The 24,446-nt window shown below is 45.3% G+C and overlaps 1 protein-coding gene across 11 annotated transcripts in view, besides 1 other annotated feature; it reads left to right on the top strand.

The window, feature by feature from the left end:
• Window positions 1,731–2,340: a silencer, noted in NCBI's record as "silent region_8841". NCBI's record gives its function as "represses an Ori minimal core promoter by ATAC-STARR-seq in GM12878 lymphoblastoid cells {active_cell/tissue: GM12878}" and the evidence as "EXISTENCE:reporter gene assay evidence [ECO:0000049][PMID:35858748]".
• The window catches only part of TEX2 (testis expressed 2), a 116,034-nt gene continuing 93,515 nt past the window's right edge, over window positions 1,928–24,446 (top strand). For 5 of the 11 annotated variants that reach the window (XM_017024846.3, NM_001288732.2, XM_011525000.3 and 2 more), the window contains exon 1: window positions 1,928–2,020. The gene's annotated coding sequence lies outside the window, so the exon portion shown is untranslated. Of the gene's footprint in view, window positions 2,462–22,815; window positions 22,928–24,446 lie in introns of those variants that run through there. The other 6 variants (XM_047436397.1, XM_047436394.1, XM_047436395.1 and 3 more) reach the window with 5 other exon arrangements.

The following is a 24,446-nucleotide window of genomic DNA, read 5'->3' as shown; positions in this document are numbered from 1 at the left end:
CAAACAGGGTTATTGTGTGGAGGCCATTCCAAGAGCCTGAGATCTGTGTGGGAGGCAGCTGACCTGCAAGATCTAGTGGGCGAGGGCTGACCTCCAAGTCTGAGGACAATGACTTCTGGGTCAGGCAGGTGTCTGGGATACTAGGAAGGGGAGAGGAATGTTGCCAGGAGGGTAGGCAGGGCTTGCTGGCATTGGAATGAGGCACCAGAGTAGCAGGGCATTCTTCTGGGATCATGACTGGGCCTGGTGGTGAGCCGGAGTGTGTCTGCCATTAAGATATTTATGCACTGTCTCACGGGTCAGAGAACTAGCCTGGCTTCCCTCTGCTTGAGGCATCAAATCTTCTTCCTGCTTGAGGATTTCAATCTTTCAGATGTTGTTTCATCTGGGTCCAGTGCCCTTCTACACTCAGTTCTTGGCATGACTTATTCTGTTATGAGTGTCTTAGTAGGTGACCTCCTCCCTTACTAGCAAGTCTCCCAACCATATTACTAATTCTGAGGATGAAAGGAGTTTGGCTTTCATTTTGCCAATTGAATTTGAATTTCATGACTATGATAGACTCAAAACACGCACCTGAGTGTGGTCCTTGTACCACTTGCATTAGAATCACCTGGAGGGAGGGGTGTCGAAGGCCATCTCAGACTTACTGAATTACAGGTTCTGGGGTGGGACTTAGAGATCTTCATGTTAAAACCCTCCAGGATGATCTGACGTTGAAGATCTGACATTTGGGACCCACTAATGCAGGAGACACACTGACACATCTGTTTGTTGTCTTGGTCCTTTCTTGTGGTGGGTGGGAAGTGCAGAGGGGCAAGGACTACGGGGGAAGGGGGAACTCTCCCTATGTGCCAGTGCTTCTGCCAGCCAACCCAGGTTCGCAGAAGATAAATGCACAATGGGCATTGCCATCCCAGGAAGCTCATTCTAAGTGAGAATTTACCTCGAGAAGTCACTTTACCTCTCTGAGCCTCAGATATTGCCTCTCTAAAAATGAGTAGTTAATACTATATAAGTTCTAAGCTCTAAGAACTCGTGGCCAGGCGCGGTGGCTCACGCCTGTAATCCCAGTACTTTGGGAGGCTGGGTCCGGCGGATCACGAGGTCAAGAGACCGAGACCATCCTGGCCAACATGGTGAAACCCCGTCTCTACTAAAAATACAAAAATTAGCTGGGCATGGTGGCACGCGCCTGTAATCCCAGCTACTCGGAAGGCTGAGGCAGGAGAATCGCTTTAACCCAGGAGGCGGAGGTTGCAGTGAGCCCAGATGACGGCACTGCACTCCAGCCTGGCGACAGAGCGAGACTCCGTCTCAAACAAAAAAACTAGTAACAGAGTTAGTTCAGGATAGGATGTGGTAGTGTGGTAGTCAGGTGGGGGAAGTACATAATGCGGGAAACTGGGAATTTGCCTTTTTAAATCAATGTCTGCAGTTGGATGGGGATAGATACGTCTGATGGCCCTCTAAAATGCAAATCGAGTGAATTTGCCCAGGGGGATACCCCTGGTTCTCCGCGCCTCAGTCACCCCACCTCAACCCCCAGCCCTCGTCTCAAGGGCACTTGTTGCTGCTAGACTGCAGGAAGAGGAAATTAAGAAGTGCAAAGAGCTGGGGACAGTGTGCAGCCCCGTTGGGAGAGTGAAGCTTTTGTCCCCCTCACCTGGGGCTCTTCCAGGTAACCCTCCCCACCACTCCTCTCCCTAGCTCCAAGGGCGGTGGCCCCTTTAACAGACCTGACAAATCGCTCCCCCATTTCCGCGGCCTCACCTCGGCGCGCGGTAGAACTGGATTGGTTGGGCCTGGCGTGCCGTTTGCTCCGCCCCCGCGCCCTCTGGTTGGCGGCGGCGGCCGCGGGCGCGGGGCGGGTCCGCCGGCGGGGCGGGGCGGCGTGTGCCCGGGGGCGGGCGGGCGGCAGGGCAGCAGGACCGCGGCCGGTGCCCCAGCCGAAGCCGGAGTCGCGCGGCCGGGAGCACGGGCGCCGGCATAGTACAATGAGGCAGCCAGCGGATCTTGGGTGAGCAGTCTCAGGGCCAGGCGGGGGCGGTGGAGGGAGCGCCCCGCGGATAAGGCCCGGGCTGGGCGCGGATCGACCCCGCGGGCTTCAAAGTACCGGTCGGGTCCGGCGGCCCTTGGCGTGGCGGGGCTCGGCCCCCCACCCCGCTGTCATGGTTCAGGTATTGAAGGGGACGCCCACCCGCGACACCCCCGGGCAATCCCTTCCTTCGGGGCCCCGCCGGATGGCTCGGGCTCGACTCCGGCGGGAGGAGCTGCCGGCCCCGTCCCCTCAGCCTGCGGTCCCCGGCCCCGGGCAGGGAGGCACCGTCACGCGCAAACTAGAGGAAAACGGCTTGCAATTTTATGAATGGGGCCCCGGGTTCCTGCCGCCCCCCTCACCGGCGACGCGAAATGCTTGAAAGTCGAGAACCGCAGTTACTTTTACTCGAATCTGTCAGAGGTTGTATGCGCCCCGGTGGTTTTTCTCCAACTCCTGGAGAACGCGGGTGGCGGTGGGGTGGTTTGTGTGCTTTAGCAGGGAGGCGGCGGCGTGCCGAAATCCGGGGGATCGGAAGGTTAACAAGTGACATTGGGCTGAGGCCTAGCGCCAGGTGCCTTGCGGGGAGGCGGTGTGGCCGTGGACGCCGTCGCTGCTGGCTGCTGAGCACGGAAACCATACGGTGGAACCGGAGAAGGCGGGGAACGGCTGGCCACATTGCACCACACGCTGCCTAGAGCGTACGGCTGCCATGGGAGTTGGTGCAGGGGAGTCTTCCCCTTTTGAAAACGATTTTTGGAAAACTTAGCCCCTCAGTGGGTTGATAGTTACTTAAACCATCGGTTGTTATGGTTACTGGGCGTCAAATGTAAGGGCAAAGTCTGTTTCCACCCTCGCTCTTTCTCCAGAGCTATGAAGTACTTTGTCACTGTGTTTTACAGACACTGTCCAGGGAGGACATCCTTTTTTAGAGTTGAGGGAAAATTGTGGGCTCCTTGAGGGCAGGGCTCGTGCCACGTTCACGTTTGAAGTGCCAGCGTCTTCACACCATCACCGCTCTGCACATGCATTAAAAGGAATGAGGCTTTTACATGTTTTGAGGATTCTCAGAGGATTCAGAGGAGTCATTTCAGGAGCCAGGTGTAAGCTGGAGGGGAAACAACGAGTGACTTTTATATGGAAAACAATAAGGAAAAATGGAGGGCAGGTTATCCTTGAACTCTGGAGTATGGGGAGTTTGAGGAGTCTAGGTTTGTGAGTTTTAGGGCTGGGTCACACAGAGACGCTTGTCTCATATTGGAAGAATGAAACTGCCATTTCTGTTAGCTCTTACCTAGCCCATAAACAATATTCTTTCAGATTCTCCCCAAAAATGGTAGTTGGTCTAAAGTTATGGTAAACAAGCCCCCTGAGGTGATGTGGATAGAGTGGGATTTTGCCATATCATTTCTTTCTTTTTTTTCTGGGCCCCTTTGGGAGTGTGAAGGCTTGGAGGGAGAGGATGTGGAGGGCTCTGGGTGAACTGAACTTGCTTGCATGTTTATCTCCAGTAAAAGGCACTGTGCCTGAGAGGAAGGAGATTAACAAATTGATTCAGATCAGAAGATGGTGGTAATTGAGTCTACTGACAAGCAACCGAGGGGCTGGGACAGACGAGGAGGGAGGAAAAATTCAGGAGTTTGGTTTGGGCTGATTGTTGGAGGTCTGAAGAGCAAGTTATGTCATCGTGAGAGAAGATTAGACACAGCATATACCAAACATAATGTTCATTATTAGAGGTTATGTTAGAATGCTTCTGGAGAAGAAGCAGGAAAGATTAGGCTTTTCGATAGAATAAATACGTAGCATGTTTTGGACAAAAAGCAGTTGCCTGGAGTTAAAAAAGAAATTATTTATTAAAATAATAATAATTTTGCTGTATGCCAGAAACTGCTAGACATTATAGAAATGATGGAGGGTTTTTTTGTTTTTAAAGGATGAAGAGTTTGTTTCTATATGCCATATTAGTTGCCTTTCCTTCAAGTCAAATGCTTCTGTTTTCTGGAAGGTTTTCTGAATCCCTTGAGGAAAGAGAGGGGAGAACTGCACAGTTTATTACTTAATATGAGAACAGAGCAATGGGGAAATTCTCCTCACTGTAGATTACTTTCAGTATCAAAGTGAATCTTCAAAGACCAGTTTTCTGTGTCAGGTTCAATATAAAATTATATTAATCCTCACGTCTGTTGACTGGTATCTTTTGATGGAAAGTGCCTGTTCTTTCTTTTTTTCCATTTGTCAATTCATTCATTCAGAGTTAGGAAGTTCATTAAACACACACTGTCTCTTGTTCTCTAGGTGTTTCTAGTTCATTTTCTTTGCCTGAATATCCCTCAGGGTCTGCTTTCTTCTGTCTGATCCTTATCTCCTGAAGGTCTCCTTGGGAATTGCTGAGGTCACAGGGAATGCTTATTCTTTGATTCTGTCCCAAGGCAGAAGACTAGTATAGAAAAGAGAGCAGTGTTGAGTTCCAACTCAGCCAGGTACTGTTTTCTGCCCCTTATGTATATATCCTCTCCAGTCCTAGAGCAGCCCTCTAATGGAGGTGTGATAGCCTCATTTTACAGAAGAGGAAACCGAGGCTCAGAGCAAAGTAGTAACTTGCCCAAGGTGACAAGCTGGTTAGATGGTGGAGCAAGAATGTCAGTCTAGGACATTGATTCAAAAAACGTGCTTTTTGGGCCAGGCACAGTGGCTCACATCTTGTAATCCCAGTACCTTGGGAGGCCAAGGCAAGAGGTTTACTTGAGGCCAAGGGTTTGAGACCATCCTGGATGACAGAGTAAGACCCTGTGTCCAAGCAAACAAAACACACTTTTTCCATTGTACCACGTTGTTTTTCCCTGGAGAGAAATGGCAGTTTATTAGAGATGTCTCTTGCAGTGTCCTCTTGAGTGGACATGTTCAGAGTGGTCAGGTTCAGAGATGTTCAGAGAATTGCTGCACTAATGAGCTCCTGTGCTCCTGCTGGAGCCAGAGTTAGATGCCGATGTCTGTCTCTCTGCCAAGTGCAGTTTTGAGTAATTCACGAGGCTATTGGGAAATCTTTTACTGCCATGAAAAGGTGACTGGACTGACTGGGTCTGTATCCTTGTGCTCTGCTTACCAGCTCTGTGACCTTAAGGGTAAATTACTTCTCTTTCTGTGTACCTCAGTTTCTTTGTAAAGTGGGAAAATATTCCCATTTCAACAATGCTAAGACAGTGTAATTTATGTAATGTTAACATTCCTGGGGAAAAAAAGCATCTTGTAATGTATGGGGTCTTAGACTTGTAGTCAGCAGTGGCTTCCTTTTTTGGCACATAAAATAACAGTGTGTCTTATAGTCAATGGTCTTAGATGAACTAGGGTAGTATATTATTTATAGGTAGTTGTAAGAATTAAATGAGATCACTTATGTCCCTGGTTCTAGTGAGCACCCAATAACAGGTCATGCTGTCCACTGACAGGATGAATGGTTAACTGGGAAAAGCTGGGAAGCATCTCGTAAGATTTGCCACTCAACGCCTAGGCAATAATCCATGGTTTGTGGCTGGAGGAACATTTTCCAATTTGCCTAGAGCACTATCCTTTGGCTGACTCTTGTCCCTGTGAGAAACATTAACTTCAGGAGCTAACGAGCCATGGACAGACAGCTCCCTTTGTCTTCCTATTCATTAAGGTCTTTGTCAACTTTAAATCCCAAGTTTAAAGTAAATATTGTAATAAGAAGACTGGAAGCCCATGCTGTTGTGAATATTCTTACATGTGAGTTTTAAAGCAACTCATAGGTTATACAAGATTTTGTGTTGCTCCTTTCCAAACTCTTTATAATGCGTAATTACACTGCGTGAAATGTCCATGAAGCACCATTAATGAGAGGGATGCTAGGAGGTCATGAAAGTTCAGAAGCCCTTGACTGGCATTGGTGGGGTGGAGAGAACACTAGACTTGGAGTCAGAAGGCTACAGTCCTGACAGTTTCACCTGTCATCCCTGCTTCACCATTAGAAACATATTTCCCAATGGCTGCGTGGATCACCCAAAATTGCACTGGGCAGCAAGGCAGGATACCAGCTGCGCGTCACTTCACTAATTTGGACTTTTAAAAGTCTCTCTTCCAGGACAGGGCGCGGTGGCTCATGCCTGTAATCCCAGCACTTTGGGAGGCGGATCACCTGAGGTCAGGAGTTCAAGACCAGCCTGACCAACATGGTGAAAACCTGGCTCTATTAAAAATACAAAAATTAGCCAGGCGTGGTGGCACATGCCTGTAGTCCCAGCTACTTGGGACTGAATCAGGAGAATCGCTTGAACCTGGGAGGTAGAGGTTGCAGTGAGCCGAGATCGCACCACTGCACTCCAGCCTGGGTGACAGAGTGAGACTCTGTTTAAAAAAAAAAAAAAAGTCTCTCTTCCAAAATGAAGAGTTGATTTCTTAGTGCCATCCCCTACTGCTAGCAGTCTCATAGATTATATGAGTTTATGATTCTAAGAATCTGAGAAATTAAACAATTGAAAGAAAATGATTGTATTCAGGACTTTTGAAGTCTCAGGTGTTTGTGATAGTGCTTTGAAAAACAAAACAATACGCAGGTGATAACAATGTGAGTAACTATCATTTACGGGGAATCGTGTGCCAGGCACTGTTCCTACCTTTAAACTTTATACCACCCTATGAATAGTAGATACTATTATCAATCTTATTTTAAGATGAGAAAACTGAGGCTCAGAAAGGTTAAATAACTTTCCAAGATTACACAGCAAGGTCAAGGACTGATAGCTGGGCCTAGAATACTGGCTTATGTTGCTCCCCAGTGGATGCCTGAAACCATGGATAGTGCTGAACCGTATATACACCACGTTTTTTTCCTATGCATGTATACCTATAATAAAGTTTAATTTATAAATTAGACACGGTAAGAGATTAACAATATAACTAATAAAAATAGAACAGTTGGGCCAGGTGCGGTGGCTCACACCTGTAATCCCAGCATTTTGGGAGGCTGAGGTGGGCAGATTGCCTGAGCTCAGGAGTTCCAGACCAGCCTGGGCAACACAGTGAAACCCCATCTCTACCAAAATACAAAAAATTAGCCAGGTGTGGTGGTGTGCACCTGTAGTTCCAGCTACTCAGGAGGCTGAGGCAGGAGAATCGCTTGAGCCCAGGAGGCGGAGGTTGCAGTGAGCCAAGATTGCACCATTGCATTCCAGCCTGGGCGACAGAGCGAGACTCCATCTCAAAAAAAAAAAAAGAACGGTTATAACAACCACATATTGTTCACAATTTTCGGAGATAGAAGATTCATTCTTAACATAGATCTTAGCAACCTCAGTACAAGATTTTTTCCTTTCCTAAGTTGTGAAGTTTGACTTTTTCACTTAAAGGAAGCACTTTACAGCTTCACTTTGGCGTATCCAAATTGCCAGCGTCATTAATCTTGTGCTTTGGGGCTGTTATTAAGTAAAATAAGCGTTACTTGAACACAAGAACTGTAATATGGTGACAGTTGATCTGATAACTGAGACAGCTAAAGGTGACTAATGAGTAGGTAGCGCCTACGGCGTGGATCTGCTGGACAAAGGGAGGATTCACATCCTGGGCAGGATGGGATTGGACAGTGAGAAATTTCATGACACTACCCAGAATGGCATGCAGTTTAAAACTTGCGAATTGTTTATTTCTGCAATTTTCCATTTGATATTTTCAGAACTTGGTTGGCTATGGGTGACGGAAACTGCAGATAAGTGGGGACTACTTGTATTGGGAGAACTTTGTTAAACTTAAAGAATTAACTCTTATTGCAGAAGACTTAAGTCCTTGAAAGGAAAGGCTTTTCTTTGGTGAACAAAAGCCATGTGCCAGGTCACTGTGAGCATAAATGGGACTATTGAGAGAAGAATCTAACCTTTCTGTGTGGAAGCTGGGAGAATGGGAAATGTGGGTGGGCTTTGAAACAACCAGGTAACCTTTGTCTGCTGGATTTGCCTGGAATATTGGTTCTAAGGGCTTTTCCCTAAGAAGATTATTGCAACAAACACATTAAGTGCCTCCCCAGCTTATTCTAACAGTTGAAAGCAGCACTGGGCAAGAGGAGCTGGCTTCAGTCATAAGCTTATTTAGGATCTGAGATTAAAACCTACCCGTTGGATTGCTCCTGCAAATAACCTTTCAGAATCCCAATATGCATTTTATAAGTTTCATTTCTCTTGCTGTTCAAAGCTGACATAAGCTGGCTTGTTTTCTTATTCAATTTTCAGTCCTTTCTTGGACCTCATGCTGTCTTTTGGGCTGTATTCTTATAGATGGTTATATTTATTATTTTAGGCTCAAAATAGAGAATTTAAAAATCTTTTTACTGAAAGGATTGACTGAACAGTGATCGTCATTCAGCAAGTATTTGAGCATCTACCAGGGCCAAGCATTGTGCTTGGCATTGGAAATCTGATGGGGAGCAAAACAGATGTGGTTCCTTCCTGCACAAAGCACATTATCTAGTCTAGACAACAAACAAGTCAATAGACATATGCATCATATATATTGGATTGTAATATGTGTAAAATCTCCTTCCTCTGAAGGAAAAGAACAGGGCACCAAGAAAGAAAGAAAAGGAAGAAACCAGCAACTGGGGGTCTTGGGCAGAGCATTTCAAGAGAGAGAGCAACGTGGATGTCTGGCTGCTGTGCAGAGGGGCAGAGAGGGGAATATGGGAAGGGCAGGCTCAGAAGGTGCCATTCTGCAGAGGACATGTCACAAGGCAGCATAGTGTAGCAGGGAGAGCAGAAGCTTGGGAACCAGACACTGCTCAAGGGGCCTCGGGAAGTTTCTTAACCTCTTTTGCCTCACTTTCCCACCTCCAAGATGCTATGAGGGTTGAATGAGCCTTGAGAGCCATGCCTGGCATGTACAGAAAGGACTGTGGGTAGGGTTTGCTGACTCTCAGGGCTGTGGGGAACTTGATTTCGAGTGGATGAGCTTCTCTTCCTAGTCAGCATTTCCCATGATTCCATGTGTAGCGTAACCATAGGGCAGAAGGTAAAACTAAGACAGCTGAGTAGGTGTATCCATGGAGGCATTCTAAGGTAGATTATGTTGGACTTTCTGTGGTGTGCTAAGCATTCAGCACCCGTACCTGGGAGACTTGGCCCTACCTGTAGGCATCTCTGCAGTGGGTGCAGTCCTGAGTGTGGAGCAAGGTGGACCGGAAGCAGCTGTTCCTCTGCTCTTGCCTGCAGTTGTTTGCTTTAGTGTTTGGATGCGGGCAGATCTTTCACCTTTTTTCCTGATAAGAGGAGACAGAGACTACTGGCCTTACAGCCAGGTGGTCAAACATGACAACTCGGAGTTGCTGTGTGCAAAACCTGCCTGAACCCCATCTCCAGCGAGATTTGATGATGTTTCCCCATTCAAAGGAACAACCACGCCTCAGGACCATACAAGGAGAGGACTTCATGAAACAGGTCACTGGCTTGGGATAGTCAATAAAGTGCTATGAACCCAGCCATATTTAAGTTATAGTTATCTTGTAAAGTATGTGTGAGGCCTCATCAAATTTGTATATAATTGACTAAGTTTTTCAAAATATCTTTTGCTCTGGAATTTTAAAAAACATACACAAAAGTGAAGAATAATATAATGGATATCAGGCATCTATTACTCAATTTTGATAATTATCAACTTTTGCTAATCTTGTTCCAAGATAGTTCCACAATGAAGCATTGTTGGTGGATTTTCTGTCACAGTATAAATGTGTCTTTGGACTATAAAATCATTTGGTAGATATTCTAGAGAAAAAAATGCCTGCACACTGCATAATTATAGGGCTGGTGTTAGGTAGTTGAAATTCAGAATCTGAAATGAACATTTAGTGGAAACCTCTTACAGACTTGTGTATGAGAAGTAGGCATATAAAATTAAGAGTGCTTTCAAGATGACCAGTTAGTCTATGTATTTACTAAGTAGCAACTGTACTGGGCAGTGTGCAAGGTACATTTTTTTTTTTTAAAGGCCAGGTGCTGTGGCTTATGTCTGCAATCCCAGCACTTTGGGAGACCGAAGTGGAGGATCACTTGAGGCCAAGAGTTTGAGACCAGCCTAGGCAACATAGTGAGACCCTGCCTCTACAAAAAAAAAAAAAAAAAAGCCAGATGCAGTGACACACACCTGTAGTCCTAGCTACTTGGCAGGCTGAGCTGGGAGGAGGATTGCTTAAGCCTGGGAATTCAAGGCTGCTGTGAGCCATGATGGCACCACTGCACCACAGCGTTGGTGACAGAATAAGACCCTGTATCTAAAAATCAAACAAACAAAAAAGGACAGTGTTTGTCCACAGTGGCTCATAAAATTATGAGCCCATGATGAAGTCACAGGTTATTTTCAAACATTCTTAGCAAATGAATTTTACACAAAGCCCAAACTGTGAAACTGATTAAGAAGCAGTATTTTAGTGGCATATGTTACTTTAAGTTCAATTTATAGTATTCACTTGTAGCATGAAACAGGACACAAGTTAATATGTCGAAAGTTTCTATATGTTGAATTTCATTTTTATTTTTTAAAGGGGAAATTCACATCAAACATGCAAACAACCCTGTAGCAGTGCCTCTGTGCATCATGGTACAACAGACCATTAAACATTTGAAAGGTGGTTAGTGCAACTGAGAATTGGAAGCTTTAATTTTAATTAAGCTGAAACCGAAGCTTTAATTTTAATTTAAATAGTTCCATGTGCCCATATTGGACAGTATAGCTCCAGGGTTTATTAAACCACCATTCCTGGTGATAGGATAGAGCCCAGCACAAACTAATCTGGGCAACAAATCAAAGGGCACAAGTCGCATGTAGGTTCCAAACTCAGTACATTTTAGAGAAAAGGAGTTTGATTATGTAGTAGAAGGAAGAACTGCCTGGTGGGACTCATGATCTTCCTTTAAGAGCAAGGCTCAAAGACCTGGGGAGTTTTGATTTGATGCTATGATGTCTCCTGGGGCTCAGAATATTATGAAATGAGGAGTGAATCTCTGAGTGAAAAGAACTCAAGCTGCTTGTTGCATTGCGGAATGTCTCTAAGAGGTAGAGAGGCGTCTGTTAAGTGGCTTGTATGAAGGTTTCAGAAGGTAAGATGAGCCCCAGCTTTGGGAGTTGTGTTTGCTGCCAGGAGGGTTTAGAGGCTGCCTCTAGGCAACACCCAGGGGCTCAAAGAAGACAGACGCAGAGAGCATGAGCTGCTGGTCACCTCTCTATCCCCAGAGCATCGTAGATGCTTGATAAATGTGTTAAAAATGGATGACAGTTTCAGGAATAGATTTAGGAGTAAATAAGAGATGGGCTTGAAATTTTTCTAGAAATTCTGAAAAATAGGTGCCGAGGGAAGTGCAGTGCCAGTGAGCTGCAGAGTTTGTTCAGCCTGTGCTTTCTGCCAGAGGTAATTGACATTTCTCCTCACTACGAATGCAAGCTCGACCTCCCTCCTTTCGCCCTTATCTAGTCCTGCACCAAATACTGCTGATTTTTATCTTATAAACGACTCTTGGATGGTTCTTTTCTCTGAAGCTTCTCTGCCACTGTTCTAGTTTGGTGCAAACAACCATCTTTTTGCTTGGAATACTCCAGCAGCCCCTCACTGACCTGCCCTCATCTACCTCTACTCCTTTCTAATCTCTTCACCTCTCAGCAGTCTGAGTGGTCTTTAAAAAATTCCTATCATGGCCGGGCATGGTGGCTCACACCTGTAATCTCAACACTTGGGGAGGCTGAGGTGGGAGGACTGCCTGAGCCCAGGAGTTCGACACCAGCCTGGGCAACATAGTGAGACCCTGTCTACAAAAAAAAAAAAAAGAAAGAAAGAAAGAAGGAAAAATTAAAATTAGCTGGGTTTGGTGGCCTGTGCCTGTGGTCCCAATTACTCGGGAGACTGAGGTGGGAGGATTGTTTGAACCCAGGAGGTTGAGGCTGCAGTGATCTGTGATCACACCACTGCATCCAGCCTGGGTGACAGAGACCCTGTCTCAAATAAATAATAAATAATTCTAACATCATCATGTCACATCCTTGCTCAAACTCTCTGAATGTTTCTTTGTTGCCTGTGGGATAAAATCTACATTCCGAACATGTTTAGGTGCTGTGTGATCTAGCCCCTCCTGCCTTCTCCAGCCTGGGCCTCTGTGTCTCTCCTGGTTTATTGTATTCCAGGCACACTGGCCACCTTTCTCTTCCCAGTTGGAAGGGAGCTAGACTTTTTAGGAGCTGAACCCTCTGCAGGAAACAGCTGTACTCCCTACCTCACCCCCACCCCCATTTTCTCTTGTCCTTTGTAGCACTCATCACAGTTTGTTACTATATATTCTGTTGTAGATACCTGCTTTTCCTCTTCTTCCAAGAAGGCAGGGACCTTGTTTATTTTGCTCCGCGTTATATACCCAGTACCTAGCTTCGTATCTGACCCATTAGACATGCTGCTTAAATATTCTCGGGGTGAATGAATGAAAGAATGCAAGCCACATTAGAAAATAAGGGAAACTCAACTTGAGGACTTCTCTTTAAAACTTGGTTATATGGCTGAGCACAGTGGGTCATGCCTGTAATCCCAGCACTTTGGGAGGCTAGGGTGGGAGGATCGCTTGAGCCCAGGATTCAAGACCAGCCTGGGCAACATAGGGAGACCTCCCCATCTTTAAATTCTTTACAAAAAATTTAAAAATTAGGCATGGTGGTGTGCACCTGTAGTCCTACTCAGGGTGCTGAGGTGGGAGGATTGCTTGAGCCTGGGAGGTCCAGGCTGCAGTGAGCCATCATTGTGCCACTGCACTCCAGCCTGGGTGACACCTCAAAAACAGACAAAAACAACTTGGATTTATTGGAGAGGTTAAGTAGTTTTTAGAGAATAACCCAGGAAGGGAAATGGGGGGAAAGAGTTCACAGGGATCTATCATGAAAACTGTACAGAGGGTTTGGAGCATCCTACAAAAACATGTTCTGAGAAACCATGTTCCATGCCCTTGTCCCAGACTTGAAAGGCATTTGCCCATCATGTTGGAAGGATGGGATTTGAGGCTGATCCTCTTGTCTGGATGGGTTTTCTGCACCCAGCCTCAGGAGACACTGACATGAGGCTCCATTTTGAGACCTTAAGGTTGGAGTATTCCATATACAGCCCACAGCCAGGGGTGCAGTAGTCTTCCTCTCTTCCTAGAGGGTAGGGATTCTGCCCTGCTCATATTTGCACCTTTCTCCTCCCTCTGACCTCCCTCACTGCCATCAGCAAACTAGAGTACTTTGCCTGTCGGGGGTGTTTGCCAAGTGTTTCTGAGTAGACCCTGGTACTACCTGGTGGACACTAAAGAGGGCTCTAGGCAGTAATAAGAGGGAATTCTGGTTGTACCTTGTGCAGGGGAGGCTTCCTGCTGTTGCTGGATTCCCTGTTGGAAAGAAGCTGGGCAGTTGTGTTTAGAACTGACCCTGCAGATGGGGAGGCTTCCCCCTTCTCTCTCTTCCTGAGGGCTACTTCCAGATGAGTGGGGGAGCCTGCCAGTGCTCATCAGGTCCACCTGACATGTCAAAAGGAAAAAGGAGAAACCTGGGTCTTCCCCGGGAACTTTGAAGTTACGAATAGGAAATCGAAGGACTTGATGCCGAGATAATGTTCTTTTGGAAGGAAGGGACTGGTTCCCCAGACCAGCACCTCTGGTAACCAGAGAGAAGATGTTTTGTGAAGACTAGAGTGATGCGTTTTCTGGGAGACTGCAAGTTAAGAAGGCTTTAAGCTTTATATTAATTAGAAATTTGTATTAATGTATAGTAATTAGAGAAAAGCCTACAGGAAAATCACAGAATCGGATAATGAGGAGACCTGTGTGACTTAGTAGCATTCTAGGTACCAAAGTGGTGCCTCGGAACTCTCGAGTGGAAACCAGCACCAAAGCTGATTGGGAACACCATTAAGGGAGGGGCTCTGGTATCTGTAAGCTCATGCCTGAGTGTGAACAGCTCATTCCCCATGTGCTGGAAACCTTAACAGCACAGGCAGGCAAATACCATCTGGTGGTTGTTAGGATTGGAGTTAGAGCAAAGTACTATGGGGTGCACCTAGCCCCAAAGGAAAATCCTGTAAGTAATTTACTCTGTGTGCCCTGATCATGGAAACCTGGTGGAAAGCATTTCCTTTTATGATGGAAAGGGGAAATCTGGGCCTGGTGGCTCACACCTGTAATCCAGCACTTTGGGAGGCTGAGGCAGGTGGATCCCTTGAGTTCAGGAGTTCAAGACCAGCCTGGGCAACATGGTGAAACCCTGTCTCTACAAAAATAAAAAACAAAAACAAAAATTAGCTGGGCATGGTGACATGCACCTGTGGTCTCTGCTACTTAGGAGGCTGAGGTGGGAGGATTGCTTGAGCTTGGGAGGCAGAGGTTACAGTGAGCCAAGATGGTGCCACTGCACTCTAGCCCAGGCAACAGAGCGAGACCCTGTCAAAAATAAAAAAAATAAAAAAGTGAGAGGGGAGCAAGTTATGTTGTTGTAGGATGCTGCCTGCCAGACCGAGACAACAGTGTTATTTTCCATAGACAGATTTTAAAGTAGGCCTCCGGCAGGTGTAGTAGACCATGCAGATGTTTGTATAAGGTGAAGTCTATTACAAGTGGACCATGCAGTAAACTCTAACCCTACCTTGCTGATAATTTTACATCTGAGAGCAGGTAGAGGGAAGTGTGTGTGTTGGACTTAATGATGACAAATGAGGAAAAGCCATCCAGAGGGCAAGGGAGCTTGTGACTGGGGCTGGGAAGTAAGCACAGAACTCTTGTTCAGGCAGGCAGGCTGGCACCTGCTCACTAAAGTTGCTCACTAACGGCTGAGCATTTCCTACCTTCTATTATTGTTTCCTTTGATAAAAATGATGGAAATGCTCCCACTTAACCTGGAGCAGGAGCCATCTTGGTATCCTCAGTGCCTGGATGTGTGTTAGAAGTGACTGCTTGACGGTTAGTCCCTGACAGTGGCTGATCTGATGTGGCCACCCCAGTTTCCTATCCACCTCACCTACAGTTAGGAGCAGAAACTGCTGTAGGAAGCCTGGCAGGAGCTGCCCTCAGGAATTGAGCCTCTTTGCCTGGCTAAGTTCAGGGGCAAGATCGAAATGGGAAATAAGTCAGTAGCTGAAAACCCGTGGGAAAGGAATTGCTTTTGTTTTAATTTCCCAGGGTAGGCTAATGTCTGTGGGGATACGGTGAGTGGTATTCGATCCTGATGGGGTAGGTTAATAGTGAAGCAGGAACATTAATTTTTTTTTAAGGCTAAAACTCCCAGCAGAAATGGCTGTTGATCATGCTCTGAGCCAGAAACCAAACTCATTTGGTCAGCCTAGCTTTTGTCTTAAGGCTGACTGTGATCATTGTTCAGAGGAGGCCTAATAGCCTGAAGTGAATTTTATTTCAGGAGGTACTAAAATCTTAGGGAAGAGAAAAAACACATCTTGAGTTTAGTTTTTCAGTTAGATGATAGAGTTGTTTTGGCAGCAAGTGTAGCAAGTGCAGGGCCCAGAATTTTCTGGGGTGGATGGTTAAGAGATCCTTCCAGAAGTCTGTATGATTTTTTAATGCCAAAGTGTTAATCTCAAAAAATACAATTGAAAACAAATTTAATATATGTATATTTGTTGACCCACAGCTCCAAAGAAGCCTTCCAGAAATTGCAAATTTCACTATTTCTAAAACTTAGCTTTCTTATGGTCTGCAAGCATTTTAGCCATTTTGTGGGATCTGTCACAGAACTGAACCATTAGCCTCCGTTTTCCCTCTCAGAACTGCCTTCCAGCTCCTCCTGAGCTCCTTCCCACAGTGCTCCAGTGGAGTGTCCTAGCCTCTCACCCTACACACTGCTAAGTAAGCACAAAGCAGGCTGTACTGTCGATTGGTTAACGTTGAGTGAGATGGGTGCTTTATTCAAGCTAAGGAAAAAAGGAATTTTTTTGAACGATGTTTTTCTGTTTTAGGAGCTCATTTATACAAGTGCTTAAGTCAGTATTTAAAGTTGGAATGAGAGGTTTTGCTTTCCTGTTCTTACAGCAGTAAACAGTAGGTATGGGGGCAGGTACCTGGGGTCAGCCCTTTATGTTTTTTCCTTTTTTTTTTTTTCTTTGAGACAAAGTCTTGTTCTGTTGCCCAGTCTCAAGTGCAGTGGCGTAATCTCGGCTCACTGCAACCTCCGCCTCCTGGGTTCAAGTGATCCTCCTTCCTCAGCCTCCTAAGTAGCTGGGATTACAGGCATGCACCACCAGGCCTGGTAAATTTTTGTATTTTTAGTAGAGATGGGGTTTCACCATGTTGGCCAGGCTCATCTCGAACTCCTGACCTCCAGCAATCCACCCTCCTTGGCCTCCTAAAGTGCTGGGATCACAGGGGTGAGCCCTGCCTGGCCAGCCCTTTAGTTCTTATTTCTGTCAATGTGGGTACACAGGGACATCTTTTCAAGTGTGATGCTACTGCTAAGGGAGGGAGGGTCCCTGACAGACAAGCAGGAAGCCTACCATCTGGCATGGGAACCCTCGTCTAATCACTGGGATGATTTCAAGCCAAATTCTTTGAGGCCTGATAAAAGGCTTATAAAATAGGCTATACCTGCATTTATTTAATATGGACTGGTTATCCAGTGATCCCTTCAGCATTCAGCAGATGACACTGCTTAGAAAACAGTGGCTATGCTTGGGGACTGTCACTGGGCAGGTCCAGACACTGGTGAGAGTCAGCCTCCTGTGAATCTTTAAAATGAGGTCCTTACCCATCTTGTGTTTCCTTTTAGGGAAGGTCTTTGAAGAATCTTAAACAAGTATTTTAACTCTTTAAGTAGCATTAAGCATGGAAAATTCTTATAAAATAGATTCTTTTCTCCCAAATTAATAGCTTATAAATTAGTGTACCAATTTTTCTTTTCTGTCTTTCTCTCTTGTTCTTTGATTATTTCTTATTCTTTCTCTCACTAACATAAAGCACTTAGGTATGTTTTGCAGTTATAGTTTGTTTTTCAATAGATTGGTTATTTATTGTCTAGAAAGTAACCAGCCGTTTTCCCACTACAGTCTTGGTTCCAGGAGTAAAATTGCTGGCAAAGCTTTGGGAGGCACCAGAAGGCTGTCTTCTTCCTGGAGTGAGATTTCACATGCTGTCTCTGTCTTGCCCAAATGCCCTAGGACCATGCACTCACCATCCAAAGGAATGTGGATTAAAACCCTACTCCTCCTATTCAAAAGAGTGTAATGAATTCTGTACATCTGGGTTTTTTAATCTTGGGGAGGGGGAAGAGAAATATCTGTGTCTCCTTGAAAATCAAGTGCAAAATCTTGAGGATATTTGTGTATGTATATTTGTGTGGTGGGGAGAGATCTTTGATGTTCATCAGGCTTTCAAAAAGCCCGCAACTGAGAAAGGTTAAAGAGGAACTTCAGGTCTAAATCTCTCATACCTCTCATCTAAAAAGCTCTAAAGCCAGCTTTTTAGAATGGAGAGACCAATTCACGGTAGAAGAACCTGGAGCACAGACAACACCGGTGAGCGAACTGCAGGCTCCCCGCGCGGGGCATCCGTGCGCAAGCCTGGCCGCCTCCTCACTGCTCAAACCAGATCATCTCTGGAGCCCTGACATTCTCTTTCCTCACTGCTAGCCCCACTCCCCTCAAATCCTAGAAGACCTTTGAGGGAGAGAATTGGAGATACACGTCATCCTAGCCAGGTGTCCTGTGCCAGGATATTTTCTCCTTCAGTTTTCTTAGTCCATTTGTTTTGACCAGAACCCTACTGAATTTTCACAGGGCATCTTTTTATTTTTCTTGGGTTTGCCTCTTTTATTCCTCTTCTTCCTCCTCTGCCTTCTTCTTTCTTTCTTTTCTTTTCTTTTTCTTTTTTTTTTTTGAGACAGAGTCTCACTCTGTCACCCAGGCTAGAGTACAATGGCCTGATCTCAGCTCACTGCAACCTCCACCTCCTGGGTTTAAGCGATTATCCTGCCTCAGCCTCCCAAGTAGCTGGCACCTGCCACCACGCCCAGCTAATTTTTGTAATTTTAGTAGAGATGGGGTTTCACCATGTTGGTCAGGCTGGTCACGAACTCCTGACCTCAGGTGATCTGCCCACCTCAGCCTCCCAAAGTGCTGGGATTACAGAATTACAGGCATGAGCCACCACGCCCAGCTGCCGCCTTCTTTATTTTTCTGTATCCTGAATAATCTGTTCCCCGTCATTGGCTTTTCTGTTAGGTCTGGTGATTCTTATCTGCAGCAAGAAAAGGGGGTCCCTCACGTAGACACAGCACCAGGAGGCTGGTCCTCCCAGCTCTGTGACTCTGGAAGGTGGATCCTGCCCTTCCTTGGAAGGCCTTAGGGCCTCAGCTTACCCCTTTTAGCCCAGAAGTCCAGCCTTCTCCTCGTGCAGCCTCCAGCTGTTCTAGAACACACATCTGCTGTTGCCTGTTACTGACTCCTTCCTTTCCTCATGAACATCATGTGTGTCCTGTGATGGTGGGCTCTGCTCATGAAAGTATGATTGTTTTATATACCTTTTTTTAAAGACAGAAGTTGCTGCTTTCAGAAAGACCATTCTTCTAGGGGGCAGCCCAATATTTAAGACAATGCTGGTAGGCTGGACGTGGTGGGTCACGCCTGTAATCCCAGCACTTTGGGAGGCCAAGGTGGGCAGATCACGAGGTCATGAGTTTGATACCAGACTGGCCAATATGGTGAAACCCCGTCTCTACTAAAAAATGCAAAAATTAGCCAGCTGTGGTGGCGCACACCTGTAATAACAGCTACTCAGGAGGCTGAGGCAGGAGAATTGCTGGAACCTGGGAGGCAGAGGTTGCAGTGAGCTGAGATCATGCCACTGCACTCCAGCCTGGGCAACAGAGCGAGACTCTGTCAAAAAAAGGACAACACTGGTGACAAATATGCATGATTGCAGCAGATCCCTGTTAGCAGAAATTTAGAGTCAAGAATGGTCATCTTCTGCCTTTGGCCATTTAAGCTTCTTCCTTTCTGAATTTCAGCCTCTAGTGCTCAGGAGGAGGTCAGGGATCTGGCTCTTAAAGGGTGTTGGAGAAAGGTCTCCTTTCCATATTGCTTCTGAGGACTTCTTAGACCATTGGCAGCACACGTCCTCACATGAAGGTGGGCGTATGATCTGGGAGACTCTGCTTAAGAAACCGGATCTCTTTATTGATAGAGCCATCTCATGAGCAAGTAATGCAAGCTGTTGGTAATTACAGAAAACCTACTGTGGAATTTCATCTAAAATTAATGAAGAGTCAGCACTGTGGATTTTAAATACAGAGGCAGTAATGGCTTTAGCTCTCAGCTGTCTGCGGGCTTTCCTTTGCTCTCTGTTGTGCTGGGGGCTCCCTTCCGTCTTGTCCAGTTGGTTCGTATCCCTATGACACAGACCCATTTTAATGGAACACCACCAAAATATGCAGTATATTCCAAAGTCAAAGGTTTAGGATCAGAAAAGTGAAAAAGGTTCATCGTATTAAAAAGAAAACAAACGTGGAGAATAAAAACTGGGCAGTGAAATCTAGCTAGATGACCATAATATGTCTGCTTTTCTTGACTTTATTATTATTACTTTTTAAGGGCATTGTTCAATCCTCGATTTTGTATCTATGGCAGCAGGTGAAGGTCTCTAGATGAGCGTTCACATACACGATGACAAATGGTTAAGGAATTTTGAGGCTAAAATCTTTACTGCTTAGATGTCATGTACTTTATAGGCATAGCATTTCTAGATTTAATAGGAAGGATCTCTGCTCTGTATGTGCTTTTATGTGACTTGCAAAGGAACTATTCCATTTAAATAGATTTCAATTAGGATAATGGGTTTGAGACATTTCACAATGGTATATTTTCTAGACTCTTAAGATAGAATTGTCAAATTATAGCAAATAGAGTTAGAAATTATTTTGCAATTTTCTCAGCAGATTGTAATTTCTCCTGCCATACATGTAGTCATTGTAAAAATAATAGTGTAAGGGTACCTTTTATAAAACTGATTATTTTCCAAATAGACTGGTACCTTTTGGTTTAGAAAAAAAATGATGGAAGAAGATTGTAGTTCAGGAGAGCAAGCAGAAAGCAGTCATTTTTCAGCCTTTCATTTTATTGTACCTTTGGTCACATTTTTGAAGAAAGGCCCAAAATTGCCATATGTATGAAAGAATATTGGTAATGGGGTAGAGTTGGAATGAAAGTGAGATTTTCAGAGTAACAAGGTCACTTTCTTCTGTGGCTTGTAGAAACAGATATGTGATCACAACAGGTCCAGCAGCCAGGGTTGGGGGGAGTAGAGAGTTCATGTAATTTGTATCATGCTTAAATTTCCATATTTGAAAAAGCAACTAGAGAACAGGATTTTGTCAAAACAAAGAGAAAAAAATAATTTTTTTAAACAGGAGGGGGAAATGTACGTGTTATTCTTACAGGATGTTGAAAAATGTTTAAATAGCTGCGATACAGTTTGTTGAGGGGGCAGGGGACAGTGGGAACAGTGACTAAAGGGTTACATTTTGATGTAGAAATGCCTAGTTGAAGAAAAAAGCTTGCCTGGGAGGAAAGTTTCTGTGGAGATGTACCCTGCATTTGGAGTGATGTACTGAAGCATCAAAGACTCAGCATTAATTTTGATCTTTCTTGGGAAGCTGGAGAAAATAATGCATTTCTGAGAAAAAATAGTAACTTATGAAATGTCAAAGCCTGCTCTGGACAATGTCAACATCCATGAGTGCGAGGCAAATTCAAGAATCCAAACCCTAAGTGAAGACCTTCCTGACCTGCTGTCTAGACGTCAGGGGCTGTTTGAGCGGTGAGGTCCAGCGGGTTAGGCATTCCAAAGATACGAGAGGCCCACACCCACATCAGGATTGTGTGTTAGTTCTCAGGCTTCCTAGGATTTTTCTTGGGAAAAGGTTTTTGACCCCAAGTGGCTCCCAGCTTGACAGAAATCTTTAGAGGCAGCTCAGAAAAACTTTGGTTTCCCAAAATAATCCAAAGGCTAAAGTTCTGCCACCCTTTAAAAGAGTAGTGTTTTGGCTGGGCGCGGTGGTTCACACTTGTAATCCCAGCACTTTGGGAAACCGAGGCGGGCGGATCACGAGGTCAGGAGTTCGAGACCAACCTGGCCAACATAGTGAAACCCCGTCTCTACTGAAAATACAAAAGTTAGCTGAGCATGGTGGTGCATGCCTGTAGTCCCAGCTACTTGGGAGGCTGAGGCAGGAGAATCGCTTGAACCCGGGAGGTGGAGGTTGTAGTGAGCCGAGATCCCACCACTGCACTCCAACCTGGGCAGCAGAGTGAGACTCCATCTCAAAAAAAAAAAAAAAAAAGTGGTGTTTTAACTTCTTTTGGGACATAGTCACCATTTAGGACTCTGAACACTATGAACTCTCTCCGCAGAAATCCGCACATGTACACACAGACCAAAACTTGCATGCATGTGTGTGTTAAGAACCCTTCATTTAAAATAAGATGCAAAGTTTTGAAGAGAAAGTTTGCTGCTGTTACAGACACCATTTTCCCTTGAGTGTTAAAGCGTTCAGCTGGGAATGTCCCTTGTTGGTTGTTCCTCAGTAAGATTAGCAGAGCTGGAACCTGCCAGCCAGGCCTCATTTTGAGACTTGTACAGCCTGACAGTAGTGCTTCCAAAAGATGCACCTCCCCACTCACATCAGGAGCTGAGGCCCAGTGTTTCCCCCAAGGGTCTTTTTGAAGAAGACATTTTTGTCTAATAACAGTTTTATTATTTTTATTATTGAAAAAGCTGTACCAACTCTGTATTCATTTTCCTGGTTATTCATATGCTTTTTTCCCCTGAGAGTCAAAAGATGGGTTTAACCTTTGACCTTGTGGGTTTTTATGGCCTGAAATTAATTTTTTAGAGAAATTGCTTTATCTTTAAAAAAATTTTTGGCCGGGTGTGGTGGCTCACGCCTGTAATCCCAGCACTTTGAGAGGCCGAGGCAGGCGGATCACGAGGTCAGCAGTTCGAGACCAGCCTGGCCAATATGGTGAAATCCCGTCTCTACTAAAAATACAAAAATTAGCCGGGTGTGGTGGTGTGCGCCTGTAGTCCCAGCTACTCGGGAGGCGGAGGCAGAAGAATCGCTTGAACCTGGAGGGCAGAGGTTGCAGTCAGCTGAGATCGTGCCACTGCACTCCAGCCTGGGTGACAGAGCAAGACTCCATCTCAAAAAAAAAAAAAAATTTTTTTTTTTTAGAGATGGGATCTCGTTATGTTGCCCAGGCTAGTCTCAAACTCTGGCCGCAAGTGATCCTCCCACCTTGGCTTCCAAACGTGTTGGGATCATAGGTATGAGCCCCTGCACCTGGCCAAATTGTTTTTTACATTAGTTATGAAGGAGGCATTGCGTGCCTGTATTATGTGTAACACAATTTGAGAATACATGTTTTTAACAAAGTACGTTATGAAAACTGCATATGTTGGATTTGTGTCCTGCTTTTAAGTCCTTTGCTGTACTTTCTCACAGGCTGGGAGGAGGATGATTCTGGTTCAGAGGCAGGCCCTGGCACCACAGGTCTGAAACTGCAGTCCTCTTGGTGGCAACAGCCCTTTGATTTCTACTTCCAAACCCCTGGTAGATCACATCCTGCAGAGGAGCCTTTATTTGTATGATCAAGATATGACAAGTTTCCACCACCCAGAAGTAGTAATTCCTCCCTTTTCTGGAAGGATCCTTTTCTTTGTTACAGCAACTGGATTAGATTTTCCATGTCCTAAAAGAAATGTATTTTCCCAGCAGAAACAACCTTATACAAAGTGGTTCCGTGGAGGAGAGAATTACCATGTTATAGTCCTCAGGAAGGCTTTTGTTCCTGGAAAGGATACCATTGAATAGTGACATCTGAGTTTTAAGGTAGATTTCACTTTCTTATAGCAACAGTGCTGTAATGTTACATTATGGAAGCTAAAACCTGATGCTCAACTTGTAAAATATACTCAACTATAAACATTCCTCTTCTGAACTATATGGAATTTTCTAAAAAGGACATAAATAGGTTACTTAGGTATTATGTGCAGTGTTCCTTCATTCATTCATTAAACTAATAAATATTTCAGTGCCAGCATTGGGATACAGCAGTGAATAAACCTAACTTTCTGCCACATACAGCATATTTTTCTTGTGGGGCAAAAAGTAACAGGTAGGCAATGTCAGACAGTACCGTTCTCAAAAATAAAGAGAGAGCCAGGTGCAGTGGCTTACTCCTGTAATCCCAGCTCTTTGGGAGGCTGAGGCAGGAAGATTACATGAGCCGAGGAGTTTGAGACCAGTTTGGGCAACAGTGAGACCCTGTCTCTATTTAAAACATTGAAAAACTAGCTGGGTGTACTGGCATGTGCCTGTAGTCCTAGCTACTCAGAAGGCTGAGTAGGAGGATTGCTTGAGCCCAGGAGTTCGAGGCTGCAGTGAGCTATGATCGCACGAGTGCACTCCAGCCTGGGTGATAGAGTGAGATCCTGCCTTTAAAAAAAAATAATAATAATTTTAGAAAGATAATAAGGGATGAGGAGGCCCCACTTTTAGGATGAGGTAGTCAGGAAGGTCTTTCTGAGAATGTGACACTTGAGCTGAGACCCGCTGTTATTTTTACTACAACAAATTTTAGGAGTAACAATTATCTTTGGGATCTTGGAATTCAGTGAGGCTTCTTTTCACAGATTTTGATAGATTTGTTTGAAGGACCTCTTGAGGAGTTAGGACTTTGGTGTCAGTGTCCTTTTGAGAGAGAGACCCAGCCATATCTGTTTTTTCCTTATTGTCAGTTTTCCTGCGGCAAGAACTGGAGGAGAGATGAAATTACCGCTTGGCCTCTTGGCCGCAGTTCAAAGCAGAACTGAGCATCTTCCTGCTCACTGGTCGGCTTCTGAGCTCAGCACTGAACCTAGCTGCCAGACATTAGACAGTAGTTCCCAACTGTCTTCCAGACGCATGAACCGACCCCTCAGCAGTCACTCCATGAGCTCTGACAACCCCAAATGCTTTCCCTGGATTTGTCACTGCATCTGGAGGCCAGCTGGCTTCAGCATGGCCCTGAATCCCAGACACAGGAGCCTGGGCACAGGGTGAAGGATTGCGGCTGTTGGCCTGAGGCTATTTTTCTTCTGAATGTCATTTTAAGCACTGAGTCACAAAATTCTAAGTCTTTTAAGCAGCAGTATAATACTGCCAATGATGCTGCTGCTGTTTAAAAATTTTTTCACATGTGACCTGCTCAGCCCTGAAGTTATTCCTATTACTCCAGAGTCCCAGAGTACATTAATAATCAGTGTTTGTACAGGGCTGCAGTTGACAGATCCATTGCCATACATCTTCCTTTAATCCCCACAATACCCTATTGTTACTCTTGCCTTGCTTTCCCCTTCATCGACCAGGC

This window comes from Homo sapiens, chromosome 17 (genome assembly GCF_000001405.40).
Source record: "Homo sapiens chromosome 17, GRCh38.p14 Primary Assembly".
In the NCBI taxonomy this organism is placed as follows: domain Eukaryota; kingdom Metazoa; phylum Chordata; class Mammalia; order Primates; family Hominidae; genus Homo; species Homo sapiens.
The sequence above is the reverse complement of the archived record's forward strand: the minus strand, read 5'-3'. Positions and strand labels throughout refer to the sequence as shown.